The sequence below is a fragment of the Homo sapiens genome, chromosome 8 (assembly GCF_000001405.40).
Source record: "Homo sapiens chromosome 8, GRCh38.p14 Primary Assembly".
NCBI lineage: Eukaryota > Metazoa > Chordata > Mammalia > Primates > Hominidae > Homo > Homo sapiens.
Window position 1 is genome coordinate 73,156,286 of NC_000008.11, and position 12,903 is coordinate 73,169,188.

General features: G+C 43.3%; 1 long non-coding RNA gene across 1 annotated transcript in view; it reads right to left on the reverse strand.

Moving 5' to 3' along the window:
- Positions 1-3,891: 3,891 nt before the first annotated feature.
- Positions 3,892-12,903, reverse strand: part of LOC107986891 (uncharacterized) — a 45,183-nt gene continuing 36,171 nt past the window's right edge. Inside the window, exon 3 of the long non-coding RNA XR_001745719.1 lies at positions 3,892-4,501. This is a non-coding gene — a long non-coding RNA (uncharacterized LOC107986891). The remainder of the gene's footprint in view (positions 4,502-12,903) is intronic.

The following is a 12,903-nucleotide window of genomic DNA, read 5'->3' on the forward strand; positions in this document are numbered from 1 at the left end:
CCTAAACATCTTTCCATATAATTTTAATGAGATTTTTAAAATGCTCATGATTCATGTTTTTGAAAAAAGACAGAATAAAGCTTCATGATCCAAATTTTGTTGTTGAGTATACATGTCTATGTTTGCATAGGAAAAAAAAAGGCACACCCAGCAGGATGTTTACAGGCTATTTTGTACTATTTGTTTGTATTTTCTTTCTTTTTTATTTTTTCTTTCTTTCTTTTTTTTTTTTTTTTTTTTTTTGAGACAGAGTCTTGCTCTGTCGCTCAGGCTAGAGTGCAGTGGAACAATCCCGGCTCACTGTAACCTCCACCTCCCAGGTTCAAATGCTTCTCCCACCTCAGCCTCCTGAGTAGCTGGGACTACAGGCATGTGTCACTGCATGTGGCTAATTTTTGTATTTTTAGTAGAGATGGGGTTTCACCATGTTGCCCAGGCTGGTCTTGAACTCCTGACCTCAAGTGATCCTCCCACCTTGGCCTCCCAAAGTGCTGAAATTACAGGCATGAGCCACCACACCCAGCCTATTTGTTTGTATATTCTATGTTTTCCACAATGTGTATTTCATCTTTGGGGAAAAAAAAAAAACTTGTTTTGGTTTTTGGTTTTGGTTTTGGTTTTTTTATTTTTTTAGACAGAGTCTCACTTTGTCGCCCAGGCTGGAGTGCAGTGGTGCGATCTCGGCTCACTGAAAGCTCCGCCTCCCGGGTTCATGCCAAACTTGTTTAATAAAATGCAAAGGTCATCAGGAGAGGAATATAACAGAGGCTGTATTCCCCTATTAGTTTGGGTTTTCTAGAGAAACAGAACTAATAGGGTGTGTGCATGTGCGTGTGCGTGCATGCGTGTGTGTGTGTGTGTGTAGACAGAAAAAGAAAGAGAGGGAGAGAGAAATTATTTTATGGGATTTTAGGGAATTGGCTCTTGCAATTATGGAGGCTGGGAAGTCAAACTGTGCAAGGCAGGCTGGCAAGCTAGCAACCCAGGGAAGAGCTGCAGTTCCAGGCCAAGGGCAATCTGCTGGCAGAATTCCCTCTTATTCAGGGAAGCTCAGTCTTTCCTGTTAGGGCCTTCAACTGACTGGGTAAGGTTCACCCACATTATGGAGAGGCATTTGCTTTACTAAAACTCTACTGATGTAAGTGTTAACATCATCGAAAAAATAACTCCACAGAAACAACTAGTATAATGTTTGATGAAATACGTGGCTACTGTGGCCCAGCCAAGTTGACACATGAAATTAATCTGCAATTTTCTAAGCACTGAGGATTTCTCTTAAGATTTCTTCCCAGCAGACCTGACTGAGGACAGGGCTCTGTTCTTTTCTCCATTTCTCTGTTGCTCAGCAAAGTGTCTGCCTCATGGTAGACGTTCAGCAGGTGTTGGAATGAGTAGATAGGTGAGTAAGGAAGTGAATTGCTAAGAGGATAGGGAACAATATTATAAAGTTATCAACTCAGAATGCCAGAGATCTACAGTCAGGTTTCCTTCGCCTGGGACATGGCCAGCAACCTCAGTTTTCGACTATACATCTCACTATGAGGTCAGGCCCCAGACACCACAGCTGCTGCAAACCCTATGCCACTCATCTAATTTTTTTAATTTTTAAATACAAATCTCTTTGTTTTATGTATTTATTTATTTCTGAGACAGGGTCTTGCTCTGTCATCCAGACTGGAGTGCAGTGGTACGATCTCGGCTCACTGCAACTTCTGCTGCCTGGGCCCAAGCCATCATCCCACCTTAGCCTCCCATATAGCTGGGGTTACAGATGCACACCACCATGCCCAACTAATTTTTGTAGTTTTTGTAAAGATGGGGTTTCGCCATGTTACCCAGGCTGGTCTCAAACTCCTAGGCTCAAGTGATCTGCTAGCCTCAGCCTCCCGAAGTGTTGGGATTACAGGTGTGAGCTGCTGTGTCTGGCCCACCAATCTATTTGGATTTACCAGACAGTTGTCCATAGCTCAGGAACCCCTGAGGACACCCAGTTCACCCCAGTGGTGTTGCCCTTCGCTGAGCAGTGGTCAGTGAGAATCAAGAGTCCTTTGGGACCAGCGATGTGGGCCTCTGGGGGCTGCCTGAGGTCAGGGCCCCCACTGGAAGGCCTCCATCACTTCAGTCCAAGCAGGTAGCAGTGGAAGCAGCTCTTCATTCTGAGCTACAGCCAGCCAGGGGCCCCTGTGGCTCAGCCCATGAGGCTAGTATGTGGCACCTCCAGCCACCATGCACTTCTCTCCCATCTTTGGATGTGGGCTTTTGTCCCCTTCAGGGTTTCTTGTTTTATTGATTAACTCTACCCTTGCCTCAGGCTAGAATCTCTCCTGAACCCAGAGTCTCAGATCATCTAACCCTCTGCTGTTCTGCCTCCCTCTGGAGCCTCAGAAGGGCAGGATTCCAGGTACCCAGTCAGTTCAGCAAGAAAAGAAAGTAGTAAAGACGTTTCAGTAGCTAGAGTCACCAATATAAAAAAGCCAGGAAACCCAGGAGGCCCATAAAGTCATGAGAAAGAAGAAACAAGGAGCAAGGTTGGTCTCCCCAGGCTGCAGGTGGACAAAAATCAATTCAATATGGCAATGTTGCTCTAGTCATGCAAAAGGTATTTTTTATTAAAAATCCGCTATAAGGAATAAATCCTAAGATCTGACTTATTTCATAGGTAAATGCAGACACAACTCTCCTGACTGAAAGGAGACAATGTCTTCATTTAGGGACTGGGATACGAGCCACAGTCCATGGACCTCTGACCCTGCCAACCATTGTTGGAGGCAGGTCCGAGGTGGGTGAGGGAGGTGGGCATCCCCACATGGAGGAGTGGGCTGGGAGGTGAGCTTGTCCCTTTCTAAACATAGTTGTGTTTACATGCAATCTGGATGGGTGGATGTTACATCTCTGTACAGCAGGTGAGAAGCGTACCTGGTAGACAGGGGTCGCAGTACACTAACAGCCTGAAAAGTCTAGGTCATAGATGCTACCTGATGTGATAATAAAAGCACACATTTATGGAGCACTTACCATGTGCCAGGCACTATTCCAAGCACATTGCATAGATAATCTCATTTAATCCTCACATTTCTATGAAGTGACTTTGGCAATTCTCCCTACTTTATAACTAAAGAATCTGAGGCATAGAGAGATGACTTGATTTGACTTGCCCAGAGCACACAGCCAGTCAGCAGTGGAGCTGGGACTCCATGGCAGCTTTGTGGTCTCACAACCATCACTCTTGAACACACTCACACATGCACACACACACACTCACATGCTCACACACTCAAATATGCCTACACACACATGCTCACACACACACTCACACTAACACACACTCTCACACACGCACACACAGATTCTTGGGATGTCAAAGTCAGGTGCCTTTTCCTTCCTCCTCTCCCACAAAAATGGCATACAAACTCACTTTCTTACCTTCTCAATCCCAAACTGAAGCAATTTTCTAATCCCTGTTTCTGTTCCACCTGGCCCCAGTATTCCAGTTGCAAATCTAAACAGCAGTATTCTAGTCTTGACTTTTCCTCCTTTATGCTCCCTGCTGTGGGAGACCCAGAAGTCTCCCCTTCCTGGGATAAACAGGTACTCTAAACCCCTTAGATGACACTTGGACACCTGCTTCCTTTGTTTTGGCAGTGGCGGGATGGTGCGGAAGAGAAACAGATAAACCCTGGATCAGGACCCAGGAGTCCACAACTCATCCTCTAACCAACAAGCAGCCTCACGGGCACAGGGTTCTTATCTCTAAACAGAAGGACTTGGTCTGGGTGATCTCTAAAACATTAAAAATTGTGTTTCAGTGGTCTCTTTCTAGGGGTACACGACTGGCCATTCTTCCTTTTTAGACCATGTTTTCTCAGGGAGCTTGATGGCCAGTCTCTGGACAAGAATGAGACATGAGATTTATTTTAGGAAACTGGCCATCCACACACACACGTGTTTATGGTATCCTTTGAGGCATAAAAAGAAAGATCCAAGCATTGACAGCAGATGCATCTTTGCCAAGTCTCTCAGAGGAGGTTTCTGGTTAGCAGGTTGGAATTCATTCTTCAATTCAGAACAATTTGTTCTTTTTCTTTCAGGATATTTGCAGAGGAGAATTCTGGGACTACTCACGGTCATGCAGCTCACATGAAAATGGCATGAGATTAAATCACTAACCTTTTCAAATCAGTAAGAATTTCCTGGGACCTAGCTTTGAGAGAGGTAAATATTTGTAGTTATCTATTCTGTGCATTAAACAGAATTGGAAAATCACCAAAGAGTACACACGCACAAAAATAACTTCTGGGAGGCAGACAAATGCCCACAGGCATTGAGAAAGCTGAGTTGGAGCCAAGGGGCCACATGGTGTTAGGGAAACCACCCCTCACGGAGCTGGGGCACAGCTGGCTTCTCTTTGATGCACCACCCCAGCCTTTGGAAGTGGCTGATCCTTAGAATGGTGAGTTTAGTGCACTGAATCTCATCCTCTTTCAAACTTTGCTGGGATCTCCTAAACCAAGAGAAAATAAATATGGTTAGTGGTTTGGCAGCCAGTGAGGTGGGTGGGGAGCTGATAGTCTATCATTCCTGACTAGTTGGTTTCTTCCTTTACGAAATCCTCCTTCCCAAGGTAGAATCCGCTGAAACTACGTTTTTCCAGCTTCACTTGCACCTAAAGTATAGCATGTAACTAGTGCTAGCTACATAATCTGCAGGGCCTTGTGAAAATGGAAAATGTAGGGTCCCTTATTCAAAAAGCAGGAGGAAAAGTGCAGTTAAAGGTACTAAAATATAATTCATTAAAAAGATTTTATTACTTATAAAATGTACTATGGGGTAATAGCAATGCATTAATAACAAAGTTATAAATTGCAAAAAAGGGTCAATTTTGTATAATACGGGGAACGATATTGTTATCACGTTAATGTTGTAATAATGTTATCTTGATTGATCATAAGATTTTTCTCACATGCTTTTCTACAAATTCATTTATTAGGTCACTTATTGCTTTTAGCAACATCATTCTTAATCAGTATAATTGAAAGTGATGTCAGTTCTTGGCAAATGCAAGGTCACAAATAATTTTTGACAATCCTTAATTTTGAGAATGACTTTTCCACTAAAGTCACCATTGCTTAAGTTGTTAAAAGTATTTTATAGTCTGACAACTTTGAGATAAATTTGTTAATTTTTTTGAAATACAAATTTTAGTACATCTAGAGCTGACAATTTTTGCAGAAGAGATTTTCTAAAAAGATTTAACTCCTCATACAAATCAGTTTTGTGTGAGTCTGAGTTTAATTTTTGATGCAAATTTATACAGTGGCGTTTTAATGTTTCCTCTGACATTCCCTGTAGCTTGTTGAAGTCATACAGGAAACTGAAAGTAGCTTTATGATTTATATATAATTCAAGACACCTGTTTTTACATTCTATCATTGTATCTTCAGTGGCAAGGAAAAACTAATTATAAAATTATCTTCCTTGTTAGTACTAGATTTGGTTCATCCAGAGCTTCATGTGGAAATAAAGTTATTTTCCATTAAGGGTGATAATCAAAATTTAATTTCTGTTTCTAACCCTGTGGATATCTGCTTTGCAATGTTATGACAATTTTCAAAACCAGTGATTCTAAACTCTGAAAAATTCTAATAATTTCCTGATATGCTTTATTGCAATATGTCTCTCTCAGCTTTTATTTTGTAATAATTTACCAAGTACCAGCAGAACTAGTGAATGGTAGAACAAGGATTCAGACCAAAACCTGGGCTTTTAATCGCTACACTGCACCAAGCCTTCTTAATATGGCATCAGAGAACTCACCAAATCATCCTCCATACTGCATCATTGCTGTCCTGAATATCTGCTTGTTGTTTCCTTGACTAATATCTTTTCCATCTGGGGCCTGGCACAGTGGCTCATGCCTGTAATCCCAGCACTTTGGGAGGCCGAGGCAGGAGGATCACCTGAGGTCAGGAGCTCGAGACCAGTCTGGTCAACATAGTGAAACCACGTCTCTACTAAAAATACAAAAATTAGCCAGGCGCGGTGGCGCATGTCTGTAGTCCTAGCTACTCGGGAGGCTGAGGCAGGAGAATTGCTTGAACCTGGGAGACGGAGGTTGCAGTGAGCCAAGATCATGCCACCGCACTCCAGCCTAGGTGATAGAGCAAGGCTCTGTCTCAAAAACAAAAACAAACAAAATACCTTTTCCACTGGGGAACTGCCTCTCCCACACCTGGGGGATTTGTCAGTCATGTGCCCTGACTCCCCAGGGAATGGGAGGTGGGGGACACAGGCCGGGCCAGAGTATTCCCCCTTCCTAAACACAATGATGGGTTGGGTGATAAACTTTTGACCCAGGGAGGGTTATTCAGAGGGCACTTTGGAAGACCAACAGGCACAAGAGGGTCTCTCCTAAGATTGTGACAATTGTGTAAGCCAAACAGGGCCATTTTTTCTATCCAAATGGAAAGAGCCTATTTGAGTAAGAAGCTGGCATGGAAAAAGGTAGAGCGGAGAGACAGTCCTGATTATGTCGTTTGAGCTCCTGGATCTCACTATTCTTGAAGCCTAATAAATGAGCCAATAAATTATTCTTTTTACCTATGCCAGTTTGAGTTGGTTTTCTGTCTCTAAACATATATTTTTTTAACTACAAAGATTCTTCATATAGCAGACACGGTGACAGACTTGAGTCATACTTCTTGGCCACCAGCTGCTGTCTGCCTCTGTAACTGCTTGTGAAGACGTCTACTCTGACCCAGATAATTCCTCACCAGGGACCATCTCTCACCCATTATTTATTTTCCATGCCTGTACGCAACAGAGGCCACTTTGAGCACAAATCACTGCTACAACCATCTACTTTTTTTTTTTTTTTTGAGACTCCCTCTGTCGCCCAGGCTGGAGATCAGTAGCGTGATTTCAGCTCACTGCTACCTCCACCTCCCGAATGCAAGTGATTCTCCTGCCTCAGCCTCCCAAGTAGCTGGGATTACAGGCACCTGCCACCACACCCAGCTAATTTTTGTAGTTTTTAGTACAGACGATGGGGTTTCACTATGTTGGCTAGGATGGTCTCAAACTCCTTAACCCAGATGATCTGCCCGCCTCAGCCTCCCAAAGTGCTGGGATTACAGGTGTGAGCCACCGTGCCTGGCCTCATGCATCTTTCTCTTTACTCTTTCTCCCCAGCCATTCCTGACTCCCAAATGAAAAGCATCATGGATCCTTGTTGTAGACAGAGGTATAAAGAAAGAGCTTCTTTTGAAGTTCTAGGCTGTCTATACAATATCTGGTAGCACCAGAAACAACATGAAATATTGTGGATGATATGATTTATTTTAGATAATGTGATTTGGTCAATATTAGCATTTGGATTTCTTCAGAAAGATAGTAATAAAAGTTAACATGGAGATGATCTCTTTCAGGGTCAGCCAAGCATAGGGTGGCTGTCAGGATCACACAAGAAAGGATTTCACAGGGACATCGACATGGCATTAAATACTAGCAAATCAGAAGCATACCAGTGTTTCCTGAAGCTAATCAAGATAAAACATCAGACAACCAGGAATTTAGGGTCAATTTATAAAGTAACTAGGCCTGCCTTCTTCAAAAATGTCAACATCACGAAAGACAAGGAAAGGCTGAGGAATTGTTCCAGGCTTAAAAAGACTAAAGAGACAGCACCAGTGAATGCAAAACATGATCTGAACTGGTTCCTGGTCTGGGGGAAAAAAAAAAAGGCTATCAATAATGTTCTTGGGTCAGTTGACAAAATTGAATTATACACTTCAGTCAGGCAGAAGTACCACATCAAAGTTAAATTTCCTGAACATGATAATTACGCTGTGGTTATAAAAGAGGATATCCTTGTTATTAGGAAACACATATTGAGTTATTAAAGGTATAGTATATGCAGCCTGCTTAAAAGTTCAGAAATAAATTACAAGTATATATCCAGAAAGAAAGAGGGCCAAGTGTGGTGGCTCATGCCAGTAATCCCAGCACTTTGGGAGGCCTAGGCGGGCAGAGCCTTTAAGGTCAGGAGTTCGAGACCAGCCTGACCAACATGGTGAAACCTGTCTCTACTAAAAATACAAAAAAAAAAAATTAGACAGGTGTGGTAGCGCATGCCTGTAGTCCCAGACACTCAGGAGGCTGAGGCAAGAGAATCGCTTGAACCCAGGAGGCAGAGGTTGCAGTGAGCCAAGATTGTGTGACTACACTCCAGCCTCAGCCACAGAGCAAAACTCCGTCTCAAAAAAAAAAAAAGAGGATGATAAACAAATATGGCCAGAACTAGTAACTAGTAAATCTGACTAAAAGATCTACAGGAGTTCTTTTGTATTGTCCTTACGAATTTCCCTAAATTTGAAATCACTTCAAAACAAAAGTTTTCTTAAAAAAGATTTAGCCAGCCTTGTAAGTTCCTTTCAACCCTCATGATTATGTCAAAGAGAAAGTATCAGTTTGGGACTAATATATCTTTTTTTTTTTTGGAGGGGGGACTAATATATCTTTAATATGTTTCTAACACTTCTGAATCTCCTTTTAGTAAAGAGAGAGCACAGGCCTCAGGCTCAGTCTTTGGCAAGCAGCAGTTACTAGCTAGAATTTAATAACATTGTTTTATTTTCATTGTGTTTACTTTGCATTTATTTTCTACTTATGGCAAGTAGTGTAGCATTCCTTGTGTAATAAGATACAAAATTACCTTTTAAGTATATTTATCTAATTTTAAAATGAGTTAATGTAAAGAAAATATTAATATAAAAGTACAGGTAGTAGTTGGAAGGTAAACATGTGACTTTAATGACAATTGCCTGACATTTAGGAAACACTAGTCTATTCTAAAGACTTCATCTTAGAGATAGGCAAACCAGAACTCTGCAAGTTAGGTGGCTTTGCCCAAGATCACACAGTTCCTAGTGATGGAGACAGTCCATTGTCCGTTTCATAGTGATGGAGTCCATTGTCCGTTTCAGCACAGCACATTGCTGTGACTTACATCGCAAGAGTACTAAGAGCCAACCCTACAATGAGAAACACAGCTCAGAGTGGTACCAGCTATTATTTACACATGCACACACATGAAAATCAAGCAACTCGCAGCAAAGTCAAGCCTCACTGTTGGTTTAGGTCTTCAATACCGAAACAGTCTTATTTCTTCTTTTTTCACTTCCAGAGTGGCCAATGGACTGGACAATGAGTCATTCCTATGTAGCTTATATAAACAAATTCAAACCATTCTTTTTAAAAAGCACTCATAGCCAAGTGTGGTGGTGCACGCCTGCAGGCCCAGCCACTTGAGAGGCCAAGGTGGGAGGATTGCTTGAGGCCAGGAGTTTGAGACCAGCCAGGGCAACATAGCAAGACTTCCGTCTCCAAAAAATAAAAATGAAACAATTTCTGTCACCAAATTATGAAAATTCAAAAATAAAAATAAAAAAATTTTTAAAAAATGTTTAAGTAAAAAGCACTCACAATCACAGAATTCTGGAAGCTTGGAAGAATAGCTAATTCCATCTTGTAAACAGTTTGAGAAATAGTTGAGGGAAGCAAAGCTGGGCTTTTACATGTTCCAGGGCACTGGCCCTGCATCCCAGCTCTTGTGCTTACAATTCCTGGAGCTGACAGTTCAAATATTTTCCTTTTTCTCTAATGTTCTTGCTCTCTTGATGCCATTTTCTACAAATCTAAAGATTTTATTTGGTCTTCAGTGAAAAATTACAACCACTGGGGTGAGTGCTAATGGGATGTCTGATCTAGCCCTTTTGCTACTGTCAGGGACTTCAACTCGTAAACTCACTAGCAAGAGGAGAATCCACCCTGCTTAGGAGGGTGCCAGAGAAGGTCATTTTACAACTTTCAGACACTCATTCTAGCTGGCAAGACAGTTTTCCTCTTGCTAATTGAATCCGCCCAGCCAAGAGTGCATGCACGTCTCTCTTCGTTCCCTTCTCCGTGGACAGCAATGGCCTCCTGTTTTTGTAAAATAAACTTTACGTGTTTGAAGATTATTCCCGAACTTCCCCTTGACTTTTTCTCTCCAAAATGGCCTCTTCCTAGTTTTTCCATCTTCATGCAAAAATAACATCTACCAATCTACTTTTTCATCTTTGTGGCTTACCTCTGAGTTTTCATCTTACTTTTTCCTGTCACTCATAAGTTGTTGAGTCCAGAACAGAGCACAGTATTTTGAGGGCGTGTGTAGTCAGTGCAAAAATGCCCAACATCCCTGCTTCCTTGGAAGGTCCAAATGCCTTAGAGCCTGCGGGTATCTCCTGGACTCTCCAGGCCCAGGCAAATCTGTTCGGAGGCCCGTGGAGTCCTAGCATGTCTCTGATTATTCGTGTTCCATCCATACACATTTTAGGTCAGAAACGGTGGAGGAGGAACCTCAGAGACAGACCCTCTAACGTCTTAAATAGAAAGTCCAGTTTAGCACTCAGGTCACGTGGGGGCCTAGAGCAGTGGTCCCCAACGTTTTTGGCACCAGGGACTGGTTTCATGGAAGACAATTTTTCTACAGACACAGGGGAGATTGTTTCAGGATGAAACTGTTCCATCTCAGATCATCAGGCATTAGATTCTCATAAGGAGCACACAACCTAGATCCCTCACATGTGCAGTTCACAATACAGTTCATGCTCCTGTGGGAATCTAATGCCACTGCTGATCTGACAAGAGGTGGAGTTCAGGCAGTAATGCTCACTCACCCACTGCTCACCTGCTGTGTGGCCCAGTTCCTAACAGGCCACACACAGACCAGTACCAGTCCATGGCCTGGGGGTTAGTGACCCCTGATCTAGAGGACGACTAAAAGCTTAGCCAGGTCCTAAAGCCTCCACAGAAGAACAAACTAACTAATTAATTATTAGGGGAAATCAGATATACAGATCACTCTGGACCTTGCCTAACTCTTCCCAAAGTCATCCAATCATCCAAAGCTGCTGTGCAGAATGGCTTTAGGGGTACTGAGAGATCACAGAGAGACGCCCCTCTCCCCAGCATTATGGAAGAAATTGTATGCTGTGTCTAAATTTCAATTTCCTTAACACACTTGAGCTCCATTTAGCAATGCTACGTAACACTTGCCCTGCCCACCTGGCAATGGTGTGAGAATGAGTCACATAGGGTGACACTCTGAAAACTGGCAAAACCAATGGAGGACAGAGCGGGGTGGGGGCAGCAGGTCCTAAGAGCAAGCTTTGACACAGTCTGTCTCTGAGCTGACAGAACTCCTCCAGAACCCTGGATGTGTTTCTGTTCACCTGTGGCCTTGGACCTGATGTTTATGTAAGAACTCATGGAGAAGATAAATGTGAACAAGTCATTAAGGAAACTCGTGGTCTGCCGTATTTCAAAGCCATGCCCTCCCTGGCCACCACGGGCCCATGTGTGCATGAACCCACTCCTCAATACCTCCTCAACAACTGTGGTTGCACCAAGCAGTGAGTGTGGAGCAGAGCGGCAGAGTTTCAACACTGTCCTAGCCCTGGACTGTCACTGAGGTCAGCCACAGATTGGCCACCTGGGCAGGTTCAAGGACTCAGACTCAAAGCTTCCATATTCTGGCTGTGCACGGTGGCTCACACCTGTAATCCCAGCACTTTGGGAGGCTGAGGTAGGTGGATCACCTGAGGCCAGGAGTTTGAGACCAGCCTGGCCAACATGGTGAAACCCCATCTCTACTAAAAATACAAAAATTAGCCAGGCGTGGTTGTGTGTGCCTGTAATCCCAGCTACTCAGAGGCCGAGGCAGGAGAATCACTTGAACTAGAGAAGCGAGGTTGTAGTGAGCCAAGATCGCACCAGTGCACTCCAGCCTGGGTGACAGAATGAGACTCCATCTCAAAACCAAAAAAAAAAGCTTCTATATTCCCTTGGGGCTGAAAGGGTAGTTGTCAAATGGCTGCATATTGTACAATCTACCCAAATGGTGGGAAAGTTATTCTCTCAGCAGTTTTATGATGATTGCTGGAAGCCTGTGAGTTCAGACTTCTCAGCTCATATGTGGGGAAACTGAGGCCCAGAGAGGGGGTGATTGGTCCAAGGTCAGACAAGTCGTGGCAGAGCCAGGTCTGAACCTGGCCTCTCTTTCCTTGGCCATTTGGGCTCCCCTTTGGAAATTCTAGACCATCAGCCCACTAAACAGGACGAGAGAGAGTCCTCCATCTCTCTCTTTGACATCTGACAGATGGGGCATGTCAGCTGCCGTTTTCTGGTTCAGCTCAGATGGTGAAGGCAGGGGAGGGAAGTGGTTTTCTGGTTCAGCTCAGATGGCGAAGTCAGGGGAGGGAAGTGGGAGGCAGGGCTGAACGTCATGTGTGTACATTTCACTTCTTTCTTCGCATTTTGGTTACATTTAACAATGTGTTACCTCTTCACAGAGTCATTTATATCATTTGCAGGAGGCCAAGAATGACATCAACATCTATTAAAACCTAACGTTTCATGTTCTTCACTGTAAACACTCACATTGCTTTGTTTCCAGATATAAACGCAAAGTCATTCTCAAGTTGAATGGTTTCTTTCCAAGAAACTTGATGTTACTGTAATGAAATTTACCTAATTAATCTCCTTAAGGAGAGAAGGAATCTGATGATGACTGTTAATGAAGACCTCAACGTTCTTCTTGTAATCAGAGCAAGGCAATCTACAGATTCGTTGTGGGAGAGACCATAACTTTCCAAATAAATCTCAGTAAAGCTTTGCAGACAGGGCACTTGAGTTGCTTCCCCACTTGGCTGGCTTGCTTTCAGCCTCGGTGAGCCCTGTACAAACTTCTCCAGAACTCTGGATGTGTTTCTATTCACCCATGTCCTTGGACCCGATGTCTGTGTAAGAACTCATGGAAAAGGTGAACGAGTCACGGAGGAAATCCTTGGTCTGCCCTACTTCAAA